We start from the raw sequence: 13,468 nt of genomic DNA on the forward strand, positions 1-13,468 counted from the left end.
GGGCCACTACCAGTCTCCGCATCTTGGTGGTAGTGGTCCCCTGGGCCCAGCTGCCTTTTCTTTTATCTCTTTGTCTTGTGTCTTCTACACTCTTTCGTCTCCGCACATGGGGAGAAACCCACTGACCCTGTGGGGCTGGTGCCTACCGCAATGCACATAAGGCAATGGATCTATTACAGTTACAGTGACATCAGTAATATATTACTACTTAATAATGCATCATTTGCAAATGACATTTTCTCCACACTAAAGCAGGTTCAAAGTTTTCCTGTAATAATAGTATTATCATCCAGTTACATTACAATACATTTTTGATGCAGGATTTTTCTCAGTCGCTTTGCTAGCCAGAGACCACCAGCCAGTGACACCCCTGCCCAGGCCTTGCTTGGGCCTTGGTCTGCCACAGGAGATGCTCCATTTACTCAGCCACCTGGGCCACACCTGGCTTGCATTCCAGCACAAATTCCATGGCTGCCACAACTGCGGGCTCAGCCCCTGGTGGGAGAGGGTGTGTGAGCAAGCAAGTACAGGATCCAGCCAGCCATTCCAAGTGCCAGCACAGGAGCGGGCTCCGTGCAGGGCTTGAGGCTGGACCAGGCATGTTGCAAGCCACCTCCACGGTGGACTCCAGTATCCAGATGAAAGGAAGTCGGTGACACCCAGGGAGGGATGCCTGCAACCCCAAAGCCCTAGAGGGGGTGTTACAGCATGCTAATAGCCCTTTCAGTCTCACCATCCACAGCCCAACAGATGGCGGCATGTTAACAGCTCTATCAGTTCTGTTGCCCTGCTCCAGCCCATGGCTCTGGGGCTGGCTCCGCCCTACCGCTGCTTCCTATCACGTGGGGCGGCTGCCTTCTGCTGGCAGAGGGCAGAGGGTCACAGTGTTACAGGCTTCTTTGTACCTATGTTCTGTGGGTCCTGAGCTCTTGTCCCATGTCAAAGAAGAATGAGGATAGGCTGACAATCGAAGGGTGAGGAGGGCAGAGAAGAAGTTTATTGAGTGACAAAACAACTCTCAGCAGAGAGCAGATGTGAGGGTGGCCCCTTACCCAAAGTCAGATGGTTTCTCCCTCAGTGTGGCTGGGTCCAGGGCTTTTACAAGCTCAGAATGGGGAGTGTGTGCTGATTGGTTTGTGAGTTTCAAAAAAGGCTAAAACAAAGGCACCACTCAAAGACGGGCATGACAGTGTAAAAAAACAATTAGAGAAGGTTAGGTATATGTAAAATAGGTAAAGCAGGGGGATCAATCAGAGGAAAGCATGCCAGGCGGGAAGAGGCATTCTCACCAGTCCGTGGATTTATCCAAGACTTGTAGCTTGGCTTTCAGGCTTTAAACTGTCTTTGGTCTCACTGGGGGCTCCCCCGTCTGCCTAGGATTTGTCTGCCTCCTGCTGCTATCGCTTTCTTAAGAAAGGACTTGAATCACAGCTATCAAACTGAGAGTTTTGCATAATCCTAGATATGCCCCAGATGTGTGTGTCTTCCAAGTGAAAACCATCTGTTAACAGTGTCATGGAAGGGGAAAGAATTTATCTTAACATGAAACAGAGCTCTCCCCTTGGGGCAATTTCCAGGAGAAGTAAGGAATAATGTGTTACCAAGCCTTTTGTAGGCCTGGAAAGCCTCTTGAAATATGTGACCTTTAGACAAGAGACCTTTAGCAATCACCTCTTAACATCACATCACTGTATGTATCATGCTTTAACATGATTGACACTGTCCCATGATACAGCAGAGGGGGCAAGGAGAAATAAATTGCCTGAAATGGCAAGATAGGCTCCTCTCTATTGCCCAGAACCATATGGAACTACACCAACTTCTTCCATATTCTGAGGAAGTAATTTGGTGCAGCTCATGGGTTTTGTAAACCAAAAAGTGTCGGAGACAAGTCTCAATCAATTTATAAAGTGGATTTTGCCAAGGTTAAGGATATGACCATGACACAGCCTCAAGAGGTCCTCAGGACATGTGCTCATGGTTGTTGGGTTACAGCTTGCTTTTATACATTTTAAAGAGACATAACACATCAATCAATATATGGAAGATTTACATTGGTTTGATGTGGAAGAACAGGACAACTCCAAGGGTGGGGCTTCCAGGTCACAGGTAAATTTAAACATATTCTGATTGGCAATTGCTTGAAATAGTTATTTTCAACAGGAAGGAAATATCTGGATTAGGAAGATGTTGTAGAGACCTAGGTTTTATCAAGCAGATGAAGTCTCCAAGTAGCAGGCTTTAGAGAGAAGACTGTAAATGTTTCTTATCAGACTGACAGTCTGTGTTGATGTTAATGCTGGAGGGGAATAATGAGGCATGTCCAACCTCCACTTCCAGTCGTGGCCTGAACCAGTCTTTCAGGTGAAATTTTAGAGTCCCCTGGCTGAGGAGGAAGTCCATTCAGATGGTTGCAGGGGTTCAAATTTTATTTTTGGTTTACATTCTCTACCTCTTCATAATATCAAGGGGAATTAAAGAAGTATCAAACAAGTCAGGCAGGCATCAAAAGGTGAATAGTGTTCTTACTGCAGTAATTACTGACCCTACCAATATCTTTCATCTTCACAGGACCCACAGGTAACAATTAACCCAAGCAATTATTCCCTAAAATTAGGCACCTGCAAAGTTGCTAGAAGGACTCAACTGCAAGGAGACAGTTTGAGGCAGGTCCAGGAAGGCTGTGTTAAGAAGATTATTTTATCTGAAAAAAAAAAAAAAAAAAAACCCAAAAAAACAGATGGGCAGCCTACCTTGAGTAATAGAGGTTTTAGTTAAATATATATATGTGTGGCCAGGCACAGTGGCTCACATCTGTAATCTCAGCACTTTGGAAGGCCAAGGTGGGTGGATCACAAGGTCAGGAGATCAAGACCATCCTGGCTAACATGGTGAAAACCCATCTCTACTAAAAACACAAAAAATTAGCCAGGCATGGTGGCGCACGCCTGCAGTCCCAGCTACTTGGGAGGCTGAGGCAGGAGAATCGCTTGAACCCGGGAGGCGGAGGTTGCGGTGAGCCAAGATTGTGCAACTGCACTCCAGCCTGGGCAACAGAGGGAGACTCTGTCTCAAAATAATAATAATAATTATATATATATGTTAATGAAGATGATGGAAATGTCAAAGAAATACAAGAATATCAGTAAAATTTGGGCCTTTTATTGAGTTTGCTTGCTGGGAAGATTGTATCCAGCTCCAGAGATTCTCTTTGACAGGGGGACAAAGACAATTCAATGGAGGAAGGATTGTCTTTTCAGCACATGGTGCTGGGAAAACTGGATATCCATCTGTGAAAGTAATCCACCTAAACACATATCTCACACCTATACAAAAATTAAGTCAACATGGATCATAGGCCTATAAATAAAATGTAAAACTGTAAAACTTCTAGAAGAAAACTTAGAAGAAAATCTGCATGGCCTTTGGTTTGGTGATAAGTTTTCAGATATAAAACCAAAAGCACATTCCATGGAAAATATTGGTAAGTTGGACTTCATCAAAATTTAAAGCTTTTGCCCTGTGATTTACACTAAGAGAATGAAAAAATAAGCCAAATCTTGGTTTCTAAATACCATTCTCCATTCTAAGGAATTCAGGGTGCCTTAAAGAAATGGCTAACTCTAGGGCTAGAGCAAGAAAAAATACAAGATGAACCTGAGCATCCTATAGTGCCAGAAAGTACAGGCGTGCTCAAAATACAAAAGGATAATTCCACAACAATGTGAATGTATTTAATACCGCTTAACTGTACATGTAGAAATGATTAAGCTATTAAATATTATGTATGTATATTTTACCACAATTTTTTTTTTTTTAAAAAAGAATGGTGGTCTGTCAAAGGGACACAAAAGCCAACCTGAAAAGTGCTTCCCAGGTCAAAGCCAGTACCATTTAGCTACAAAATATTGCATTACCACCAGCAATGAGAGAATCTGTCTCAAACAACAACAACAAAAAACCAACAAAAGACAAAATACATATACATGAACCCGTATTGATATACAAATAAGTGATTTAATTAATTAATAAATGGGAGAGATGAGGCAAAAATCTTTACAGAATTCCAAATTATTTTTGTCATTGTTGTGTTTTTGTTTGTTTTGTTGTTGTTGTTGTTGTTTTGAGACAGAGTCTCGCTGTGCTGCCCAGGCTGGGGTGCAGTGGCGTGATCTCAGCTCACTGCAACCTCCAACTCCCAGGTTCAAGTGATTCTTCTGCCTCAGCCTCCCAAGTAGCTGGGACTACAGGTGTGTGCCACCATGCCCAGCTAATTTTTTTTTTGTATTTTTTAGTAGAGATGGGGTTTCACTATGTTGGCCAGGCTGGATTTGAACTCCAGACCTTGTGATCTGCCCGCCTCAGCCTCCCAAAGTTGGGTTTTTTTTTTTTTTTTTTTTTTTTGGAGATTGGGTCTTACTCTGTTGCAGTTTGGAATGCAATGGCACTGGTCACGGCTCACTGCAGCCTCAGTCTTCCAGGCTCAAGTGATCCTCCCACCTCAGCCTCCTGAGTAGCTGGGACTACAGGTGTGCGCCACCATGCCGGGCTAATTTTTAAATTTTTTATAGAGACAGGGTCTTCCTATGTTGCCCAGGCTGGTTTCAAACTCCTGGCCTCAAGTGATCCTCTCTCCTCAGTCTCCCAAAGTGCTGGGATTACAGGTGTGAGTCACCACACCCCACCCCAAATTATTTGCATAGATAACCCCCTTCAGGAGGTGCAGCTTAATTCCCCTCCCCCAACACACACACACACCCTCTAGGATGCCTAGACACGGTGACTTGCTTCCATAGGAAAAAGGGGAACATAGTAACTTTACTATTAAAATGGACAGCATCTTAATGATCAAGGTTAAAATCACCATTAATAAGTCATGTTAATAGCACATACTCCTGATATGACCTGATAAGCATGGGCATTTCACCTCTGTGGTATTCCTCCCCAAAATCCATAACCTCAGTCTAATCATGACAACAGGCATACCCAACAGGAGGTATATTCTTTAAAATACCTGAGCAGGGCCAGGCGTGATGGCTCACGTTTGTAGTCTCCGTACTTTGGGAGGCCAAGGCAGGTGGATCACTTGAGGTCAGGAGTTTGAGCACAGCCTGACCAACATGGTGAAACCCTGTCTCTACTAAAAATAAAAAAATTAGCTGGGCATGGTGGCGCATGCCTGTAGTCCCACCTACTCAGAGGCTGAGGAAGGAGAATCACTTGAACTCGGGAGGTGGAGGTTGTAGTGAGCTGAGAGATTGAGCCACTGCACTCCAGCCTGGGTGACAGAGAGACACTCCCTCTCAAAAATAAACAAACAAAGAAACAAAACCTGAACAGTGCTCTTTGAAACTCTCAAGGCCATGAAAAACAGGAAAGATTGAGACACAGTCCCAAACCAGAGAAGACAAAGGAGACATGACAACTAACTGTGATGTAGGCCTGGACTGAATCCTGCAACAGAAAAAGAACATTAGTAGAAACACCTGTGAAATTTGAATAAAGTTTAGAGTTTAACTAATAATGTACAAATGTTGGTTTCTTGGTTTTAACAAATATACTGTGGTTGATGTAAGATGTTAACAATAGGAGAAACTGGGTAAAGGGGACCTATGGGAACTCTCTGTACTGGCTGCAACTTTTCCTTAAATCTAAAATTATTCCAGGCTGGGGGTGGTGGCTCATGCCTGTAATCCCAGCACTTAGGGAGGCCAAAGCAGGAGGATCACTTGAGGCCAGGAGTTCGAGACCAGCCTGGGCAAACTAGCAAGATCCCTGTCTCTACCCAAATTTTTATTTAATTGAAAATTATTCCAAAATCAAAATTTTGTCTAGAAAATAGATAAAGACAAAGAAAAATTTGACAATAAAGGTGATGGAAACAACAAAGATATGTAAGAAACTGAGCACAATTTGGGTCTTTGTGGTCAAGTCTGATTGCTAAGAGGATTCCTCCCAGCTCTAGAGATTCTTATTCATTATCTGATTACCCACAAAAAAGCAGAAGTTTATTAAACATTGCTCTAATGGGGAAGTTCTCAAACGTGTGTATCAGAATCACCTGGAAACTAATGACAAATACTGGGACCAGGGTCATCAAAGTAGACTAGCACTGGGACTTCTGTATTTTTACCAGGTTCCCTGGTGAACCTGATACATACCCCAGCTTAAGAACCACTGTTCTAGTGCTTTTCTGTTGACATTGTCACAGGATCCTTAGGGTGTTGCTTTGCCAGCTGGAAACCTCTGTGATCAGCAGCACCTCTGCTTGAGTTTTGCTTGCGCCTGCTGGGCTTGTCCTGCCCACTTGGCCTGGCAGGCTACACTTGCTTTGCTGCCGGCCTGGATCCCACACTTGACAAGGTTGAGGCAGGTGTGGAGCAGTGAGGGGTATGTGAACGAGTGAGCACAGGTTCTTGCCTCTTTGCACAGCCAGGCACACTGGCTGCTGTGGCAGGGTGGGCAGCTCCAGGCACTGGCACAGGCGCTGGCTCCATGTGACGCTGCAGCTGGACCCGATATACCACAAGCGGCTTCCACTGTGGGCACCAGCATCTAGACAAGGGGAGTCCAGTGGCACCTAAAAGCTCAGAGATGCCAGGAACTACAGAGTGCCAAAGAAGGTGTTACAGTGTGTCACAGCCCTTGCTCAGGGAGCCCCAAGGTCTGGGCATCCAGAAGGGCCACAGCTCTTCTCTCCTTCTCATTGCCCGCAGCATGGTGAGTGGGGGGGTGTGTTTTGGGGGGCATGTTTCAGCCCATTTGTGTTACAGCTCTTTCAGTCCTGCTGCCACACTCTGGGCCACAGTTCCTGGGCTAGCCCAGCCCCGCTGCTGCTTCCCATCGCATGGGGCAGCTGTCTGGTGCCAGCAGAGGGTGGGAGAGCTATAGTGTTGCAGCCCTTTAGCTCCCACCATAGCTCAGGGAACCAGCCAGGGAAGTGTTACAGCTCCTTTTGCTCCTGCCATTTGGTGGGTCCCAAGTTCTTGTCCCATATCCAGGAAGAATGAGGTTGCATGGGCAACTGGAGGGTGATCAAGGCAGAGAAGAGCTTTATTGGGCAACCAAACAGCTCTCAGCAGACAGGAGACCCAAACTGGGTAGCTCCTATTCATAGGCAGGTATTCCCAATGAGTATAGAGGAGACCCAAAGTGGGTAGCTCCTATTCATAGGCAGGTATTCCCAACGAGTATAGAGGAGACCCAAAGTGGGTAGCTCCTATCCACAAGCAGGTAATCCTGATGAGTCTCTGAGTCTGGCTGAGTCTGGGGTTTTTATGAGCTCAGAAGGGAGGAAGTACATGCTGATTGGTTCATGGAAAAGGCACCATCCAACTGGCCAAAAGGCATCAAGGAAGTTCTCACTCTGGGTCATGAACTCCACCTGGAACTGGGAGCCAGGCCCCTAGGTTTTAGGCCTGGCCTGAAGATGGGGTTTCACCAGGGACCTGCTTCTTCCCACCTAGGAACCTGTCTGCCTCCTGCCACCATCAACAGGCCATTTGCAGTGCCCAGGCTGTCTGCAGGCCCACGTCAAGCTGCCCTCAGCACCCCAGCCTTCCTCCCATGCTCATTAGTGCCCAAAGTCTGAAGGGGCCGAGGTAGCAGAGGGCTGGTGCCTCAGTACTGCCCCAAGGATACACACACCTGGCTGGGTTGCACCAGTACCTGGGCTCGGCCACAACTGTGTTCCACACCAGAGTGGGTGCTAGGGATAGGGAGAGGCCAGGGAGTGGGAGCAGGCACTTCTGAGCTTGTGGGGGAAGGAGGCTTCCTGAGCCCCTGAGAGCATAGGGATGCCTGGGTCTGGAGCCATAGCTGGGCAGCTGCAGCTGCACCCAGGAGTTGGTGGGCTCCCACCCCACCAACTCGGTAGGGCGTGGGGGCTCCCACTGGGATTCAACTGTTCCTGGCCCCCACGGGCCAACGAGTGCACAGCCCTGGCCACACCTCCCCCGCTACAGCTGGTGTCCTTGCAATGGCCACTCCATACGGATCGCCACTGCCATCAACATGACTACAAACACGACCATTCATACGTTCAACAGCCATTTATTAACTATTATGTGCCAATTCTTTGTCAGTACTAAGAGCACAGTAGTAAACACTCAGGCAAAGTCCATGCCCTAATGGAGCTTACATTCTAATATGCAAATAAATATACACTGATGGAGTGTCTCCTTGTATTTCCCAGTTCCAAGTCCCCAGAGAGAAAACCTGATTGGTGTAGCTGGTCACTACCATCCACTTGTGGGGGGAGAACCTTTTCTAAAGGCCACCTCATTCAGTGTGGGTATTGGCTGCCTGTATATCAGGGTTTCCCTCTAGTCCAGTCAGCTGTGACTGAGAGTGCATGACACATAACATGGTCTCTCATGTGGTCTCATGTGGTTAGCTCCCTCAGCAAAACAGGCTAGGTTAGGAGATTCTCATCTGCCCTATCCAATGTGGTTCTTATTCAAATATGGTAGGAACCAAACTTTCTCAGGGTAGTCTGAAGGCAAAAAGATAAGGCTGCACTAACCAATACCAAGCTGAGTATTAATAATCTAAAAATCCAAAATGCTCCAATTGGAAACTTTTTGAGTACTGATATAACACTCAAAGGAAATGCTCATTGGAGCACTTTGGATTTTGGATTTTTGGATTAGAGATTCTCAACCAGTAATGTTCCAAAATCCAAAATCCAAAACACTTCTGGTCTCAAGCATTTCAGATAAGGGATATTCAATGTGTATGATAAAAATGATCCCTCCATCATGAACAACTTATTTACAAGAACTCAGAATTGGCCAGGTGTGGTGGCTCACACTTTGGGAAGCTGAGGTGGGCAGATTGCTTGAGGCCAGGAGTTTGAGACCAGCCTGGCCAACACCGCAAAACCCCATCTCTACTAAATATATGAAAATTATCTGGGCATGGTGGCGCATGCCTGTAATCCCAGCTTCTTGGGAGGCTGAGACACAAGAATTGCTTGAACCTGGGAGGTGGAGGTTGCAGCAAGTTGAAATTATACCACTGCACTCCAGCCTGGGCAACAGAGAGAGACTCTATTAGAAGGAAAGACGGGAGGGGAGGGGAGGGGAGGTGAAGGGAAGGGAGGGGAAGGAAGAACTCAGAATTAATGTTAATGGAACTCAGAACACACACAAAATTGAGTACCAGATACTTCTTCCAGAAGAATAGATTACTTCCGGTTTTTTAGCCTGTAGACATTTGCTTCTGTTGGACTTCACTTTTCTGCTGCCTCTGATGTTTCAAAATACCAACCTGCCTGCAGCAGATTCTTACTCCAATTGAAGCTGACTTGACAATAATCTACCACGTGTTCCCTCCATCATGTTGTATTATTTATATTAGCTTTGGCAATATCCTTGAGATTTTACTATTTGCCTTCTGTTGGAGCGTATTCTCCAACTAAAAGAGGAAACAACTGGCACCAGGAAAAATGGAGCAATCATTCTCACATTTTTTCAGTCCCAAACCAGGTGGGCCCTGTACCTCACCCTCACACCCTCCACCAACTGCTGCTAAAGAAATAACATGGGTTTTTACCATCACCCTGGGAATTAGGAAAAAAAAGAAAAAAAACCCACAGATTTTGATGAGACACAAATAGTAGCCACAGAGGTCACTTACTAACTGATTCTGAAAAAAAGGCTTTGAAGCTATTCATTACACACATTCAATTCAAATCAATAAACACTACTACCATGTTCCCAATACTCAACCAGGAACTGGGGATCTCAAGATGAAAAAACATGATCGGCTGGGTGTGGTGGCTCACACCTATAATCCCAGCACTTTGGGAGACTGAGGTGGGAGAATCATGTGAGCCCAGGAGTTCGAAACAAGCCTGGCAGCATAATGAGACGTCGTCTCTGCAAAAAATCAAAAAAATTAGCTGGGTGTGGTAGTGCGTGCCTGTAGTCTTAGCTACTCGGGAGGCTGAGGTAGGGATGATTTTGAGCCCAGGAGGTGGAGGCTGCAGTGAGCTGTGATCACACCCCTGCACTGCAGCCTGGGAGACAGAGTGAGACCCATTTCACAAGAAAGAAAGGAAAAAAAAGAAGGAAGGAAGGGAGGGAGCGAGGGAATGAGGGAAAGAGAAAGAGAGAAAGAAAAGAAAGAAAGAAAGAAAGAAAGAGAGAGAGAGAGAGAGAAAGAAAGAGAGAAAGAAAGAAAGAAGAAAAGAGAGAGAAAGGAAGGAAGGAAGGAAGGAAGGAAAAAAAAAATATGATCCTTGCTCTGAATGAATGGACCACGAATGGTGGAAGACAGGCCTGTGATGATGACGATGATGTCATAGAAATGAAGGAACTGTTTCATGGCAAGGAGAGAGTCACACTGACCTTAAGGATAAATAAGTAACATTTGAGATGGGACTTAAAGGATTAGGATTTTTTCAAAGTTAGGATTTTTTAAGTGGAAAATGTAAGGAAGGGCATTCCAGAAGTAGAGAATAGCATGAATAAAATCAAGAAGGTAAGAAAGTAAATGGCTTGTGTGGAGAATAACAAGCAGCCACTCATGAGGCTGAAACATACACTACAGCTCTAAGGAAGGGCTGGACTTGCCCATGGACCACCAACGATCCACAGCCTGGGTTCTATAGGCCGCGGCTGCCATCAGACATATGGGAGACAACTGGTCCAAAAATTTTGACCACTGAACATGGCAGCAGCTTCCATCATAAAGAGGGTTATAATTGCCAAGCAGAATGAGAACATTATAATTAGATCTAGTTCTTCCATTTATTCTCTTGCATTAAATGTATTAATTTGTTGAATTAGCTGCTAGGCATTCTGGTAAATATCAAGAACATAGAGCCAACTCCACTGCAGACCCTGTCCTTGAGGAGCCTAATAACTGGAGATTTCATTTATGGATTTATGGATTTATTAGGCCTCCTAAAAATCTGCTATTCACTTACCGATAGCAAAGAAAATTATTTTTAAATTTTAAATAATATTTTCTTATTACAAAAGCACTTCATGAGCATCATAGAATATGGAACCAGCCAAAACAAAAAATAAAATATCTCTGTCACCACCCAGAGATCACCACTGTAACCCTTGGTTCATATTCTCCTCCCACATCTTCATATGCATACATACATATTAATCTGTATTTTGAGGACATGTTTTTCATTTTGTCTACAGACACATCCCGTCTTGTAACCAGCTTTTAAAAAAGACAATAATTTCCACGTTTCCATGTGAATAACTACTCTTCTAATACTCAGTACATATTCAAATTTCTCCAAATGAACCAAAAATGTCCTTTACGCTTATTTCTCCAAGTTGGCCCCCAACTCAAGCCCTTGCAATGTGTCTCTTGGTTATATTCTTCGGGTTCCTTTTAATCTGGCATAGGCCCTTTCATAGGACTCTGACTCGACAAAGAGAACTGGCCAGCTGTCCTGAAGGAAGGCCCACTTCCTGTATTTGCCTGGTTCCCTGTGGTGTCATTTTACTTGCTCCTCAATTCCCCTTACTTCCTGTAAACATCAAACTCAAGATGCCATAGAGGCAAGTTAACCACCTTGGGCTAGAATACTTCATGGGCGATAGCACGTACTTTACATTGCATCACATAGGAATCCACATAATACCTGGTTGACGCAACATCAGTCCAACTGACCACAAAGCAACTAGGGGTTTCAGAGGGAGTACACGTAAGGGGCAAAAGCAGCAACGGAATACGACAACGGAATAAGCATGAATACGACCTGGCTACCTGAAGGAGGTAGGACGGGGAACCGAGCAGCAGCAGGTGGTGGAATGCCAGGGAAATCCAACCGTGCTTCCCACGCTGGCATCGCTCTGATTATGACCAATCCTCTAATCTTATTCTCACAATTAGGGAGGAAGAAAAAAAAACAAACCCAAACCAAAAAAGAAGTTGGTAGGTGACTCTGTGAGACTACTGTTTTATAAAGGGAGCGTTTCCTTTTATAAAATTTAGCTGAGCAGATGCTAGGCAGCCCACAGGAGGCCACTATTCCCCTCAGCTGTACAGTTTGGGAAAATACCTACACACCCGGAGAACAGAGAGCTTGGTGTGTGTTGAGTTCGCTCCTGTTCATCAGCAGCCCTTTCCCCGCCTCTGGCCACCAGGGGGACCTGCAACCAAGTATGTGTTCTTTCAGGCGAGCGGGAACGCGTCTGCATAAATCTAGTCCAATCCAGGGCCCCGTAGCAAGGCGCCAAAGCTGGGGGAAGCGCATTTCTGTTCTCTCGCGAGCACGACGCGGTGCCTCCCAGTCCTCCTCCGGCCCTCCCTCTCCGCCCTCCCGGCCCGCGAGCGCTCGGGCCCCTTCCAGTGGCTCGCGGCAGGTGGCGCTGTCTGCGGCGTCGCAGCGGCCCGGGCTGCAGCAGAGACGATCTCCCGGCGGGCTGTGCGGCCCGGCTCTCCGGCGGCAGCGAGTGCCACGTCCCAAGTGCTACGCGGAGGATTAGAGCAGGCGGTGCGCTGGGGGCGGGAGCAGCGCGGAGCCCGGCTCGGCCACACCGATCGCCCGCCGCCATGGGCTCCTCGCAAAGCGTCGAGATCCCGGGCGGGGGCACCGAGGGCTACCACGTTCTGCGGGTAAGGGCTCCGACGGCGGCCGGGGAGCTGCGGGCTGGAGGCGGGGCCGGCCGCGGGGAGGCGGAGGCCCCCATGGGCTCCTTCACGGGGCAGCCAGGCCCGATCCCGCGAAGGAGCGGCGGTCGCGGGCGCTGCCTTGGTCGAGGCTGGTTCCGGAGGCCGCTCGCATCCCACCTCCGCGGAGCGCCCTGGGCACGGGGTCCGCGGCTGTAGGAGGACGGGCTGGAGCTGGAGGCGGCTGCCGGCGACTCGGCCAGGGGGCGGCCCTGGGAAGGGGGGACAACCTTGCTCTTTTTCCGCACGGCCTTCTCTCTCCTCCACCCCCCCTCATTTTTAGCTTCCAAAGTTAGGAAGGGCGCGGAGGCAACGTCTCCAAAGTGGTGACTGTGAAGGCAGCCTTTGCGCTTTCCTAGGAGAGGGATCCGGACCCGCAGTCCGGAGGCGGGGCCTGCGGCGGCAGGTGTTAAATCACCTCGGCGCCGGCCGAGTGGCCTGAAAGACCAGCAGGGCAGGAGACGGAAAACCAAATGGCCTGGAAGTAGGTTCGACGGACTTAAACAGACTTGATTTTGACCAGACTTTTCCTTTCCCGTGCCACTCCTGACCCTCCCAAACCTTCTCAAGATTTCCTGGAGTGGGAACTTCCGTTCTGTTCCGATTGCTGAGGGTGTGGTTTAGATTATAAGGTTTAGATCCACAGTGGTAAAGAGGTAGTGCAGAGAAATTTTTTTTAAAAATCGGAGTATATAAAGGAAAACAACCCTAGCTTAACTTCCAGGACGCAGAGAAACATAGTATCTCAAAAGGCGTCAGCTAAGCCCCTACCTATGAACGGCCTGGGCCTGGGTGGTACAAAGCATGTGGTCTTTTCCTCATG

General features: G+C 47.1%; 1 protein-coding gene across 2 annotated transcripts in view, besides 2 other annotated features; it reads left to right on the forward strand.

Moving 5' to 3' along the window:
* Positions 367–661: a silencer, noted in NCBI's record as "tiled region #14; K562 Repressive non-DNase unmatched - State 7:EnhWF". NCBI's record gives its function as "represses a minimal TATA promoter and a strong SV40 promoter by Sharpr-MPRA in K562 cells {active_cell/tissue: K562}" and the evidence as "EXISTENCE:reporter gene assay evidence [ECO:0000049][PMID:27701403]".
* Positions 11,665–13,468, forward strand: part of GORASP2 (golgi reassembly stacking protein 2) — a 38,654-nt gene continuing 36,850 nt past the window's right edge. The window contains exon 1 of one of the 2 annotated variants that reach the window (NM_001201428.2): positions 11,665–11,748. Coding sequence is in view for 1 of the 2 variants with exons in the window: in NM_015530.5 (NP_056345.3) it covers positions 12,529–12,591 (63 nt within the window). In the remaining variant the exon portion in view is untranslated. Of the gene's footprint in view, positions 11,749–12,440; positions 12,592–13,468 lie in introns of those variants that run through there. The other variant, NM_015530.5, reaches the window with a different exon arrangement.
* Positions 12,220–12,919: a silencer, noted in NCBI's record as "silent region_12094". NCBI's record gives its function as "represses an Ori minimal core promoter by ATAC-STARR-seq in GM12878 lymphoblastoid cells {active_cell/tissue: GM12878}" and the evidence as "EXISTENCE:reporter gene assay evidence [ECO:0000049][PMID:35858748]".

Source organism: Homo sapiens, chromosome 2 (genome assembly GCF_000001405.40).
Source record: "Homo sapiens chromosome 2, GRCh38.p14 Primary Assembly".
Lineage (NCBI taxonomy): Eukaryota > Metazoa > Chordata > Mammalia > Primates > Hominidae > Homo > Homo sapiens.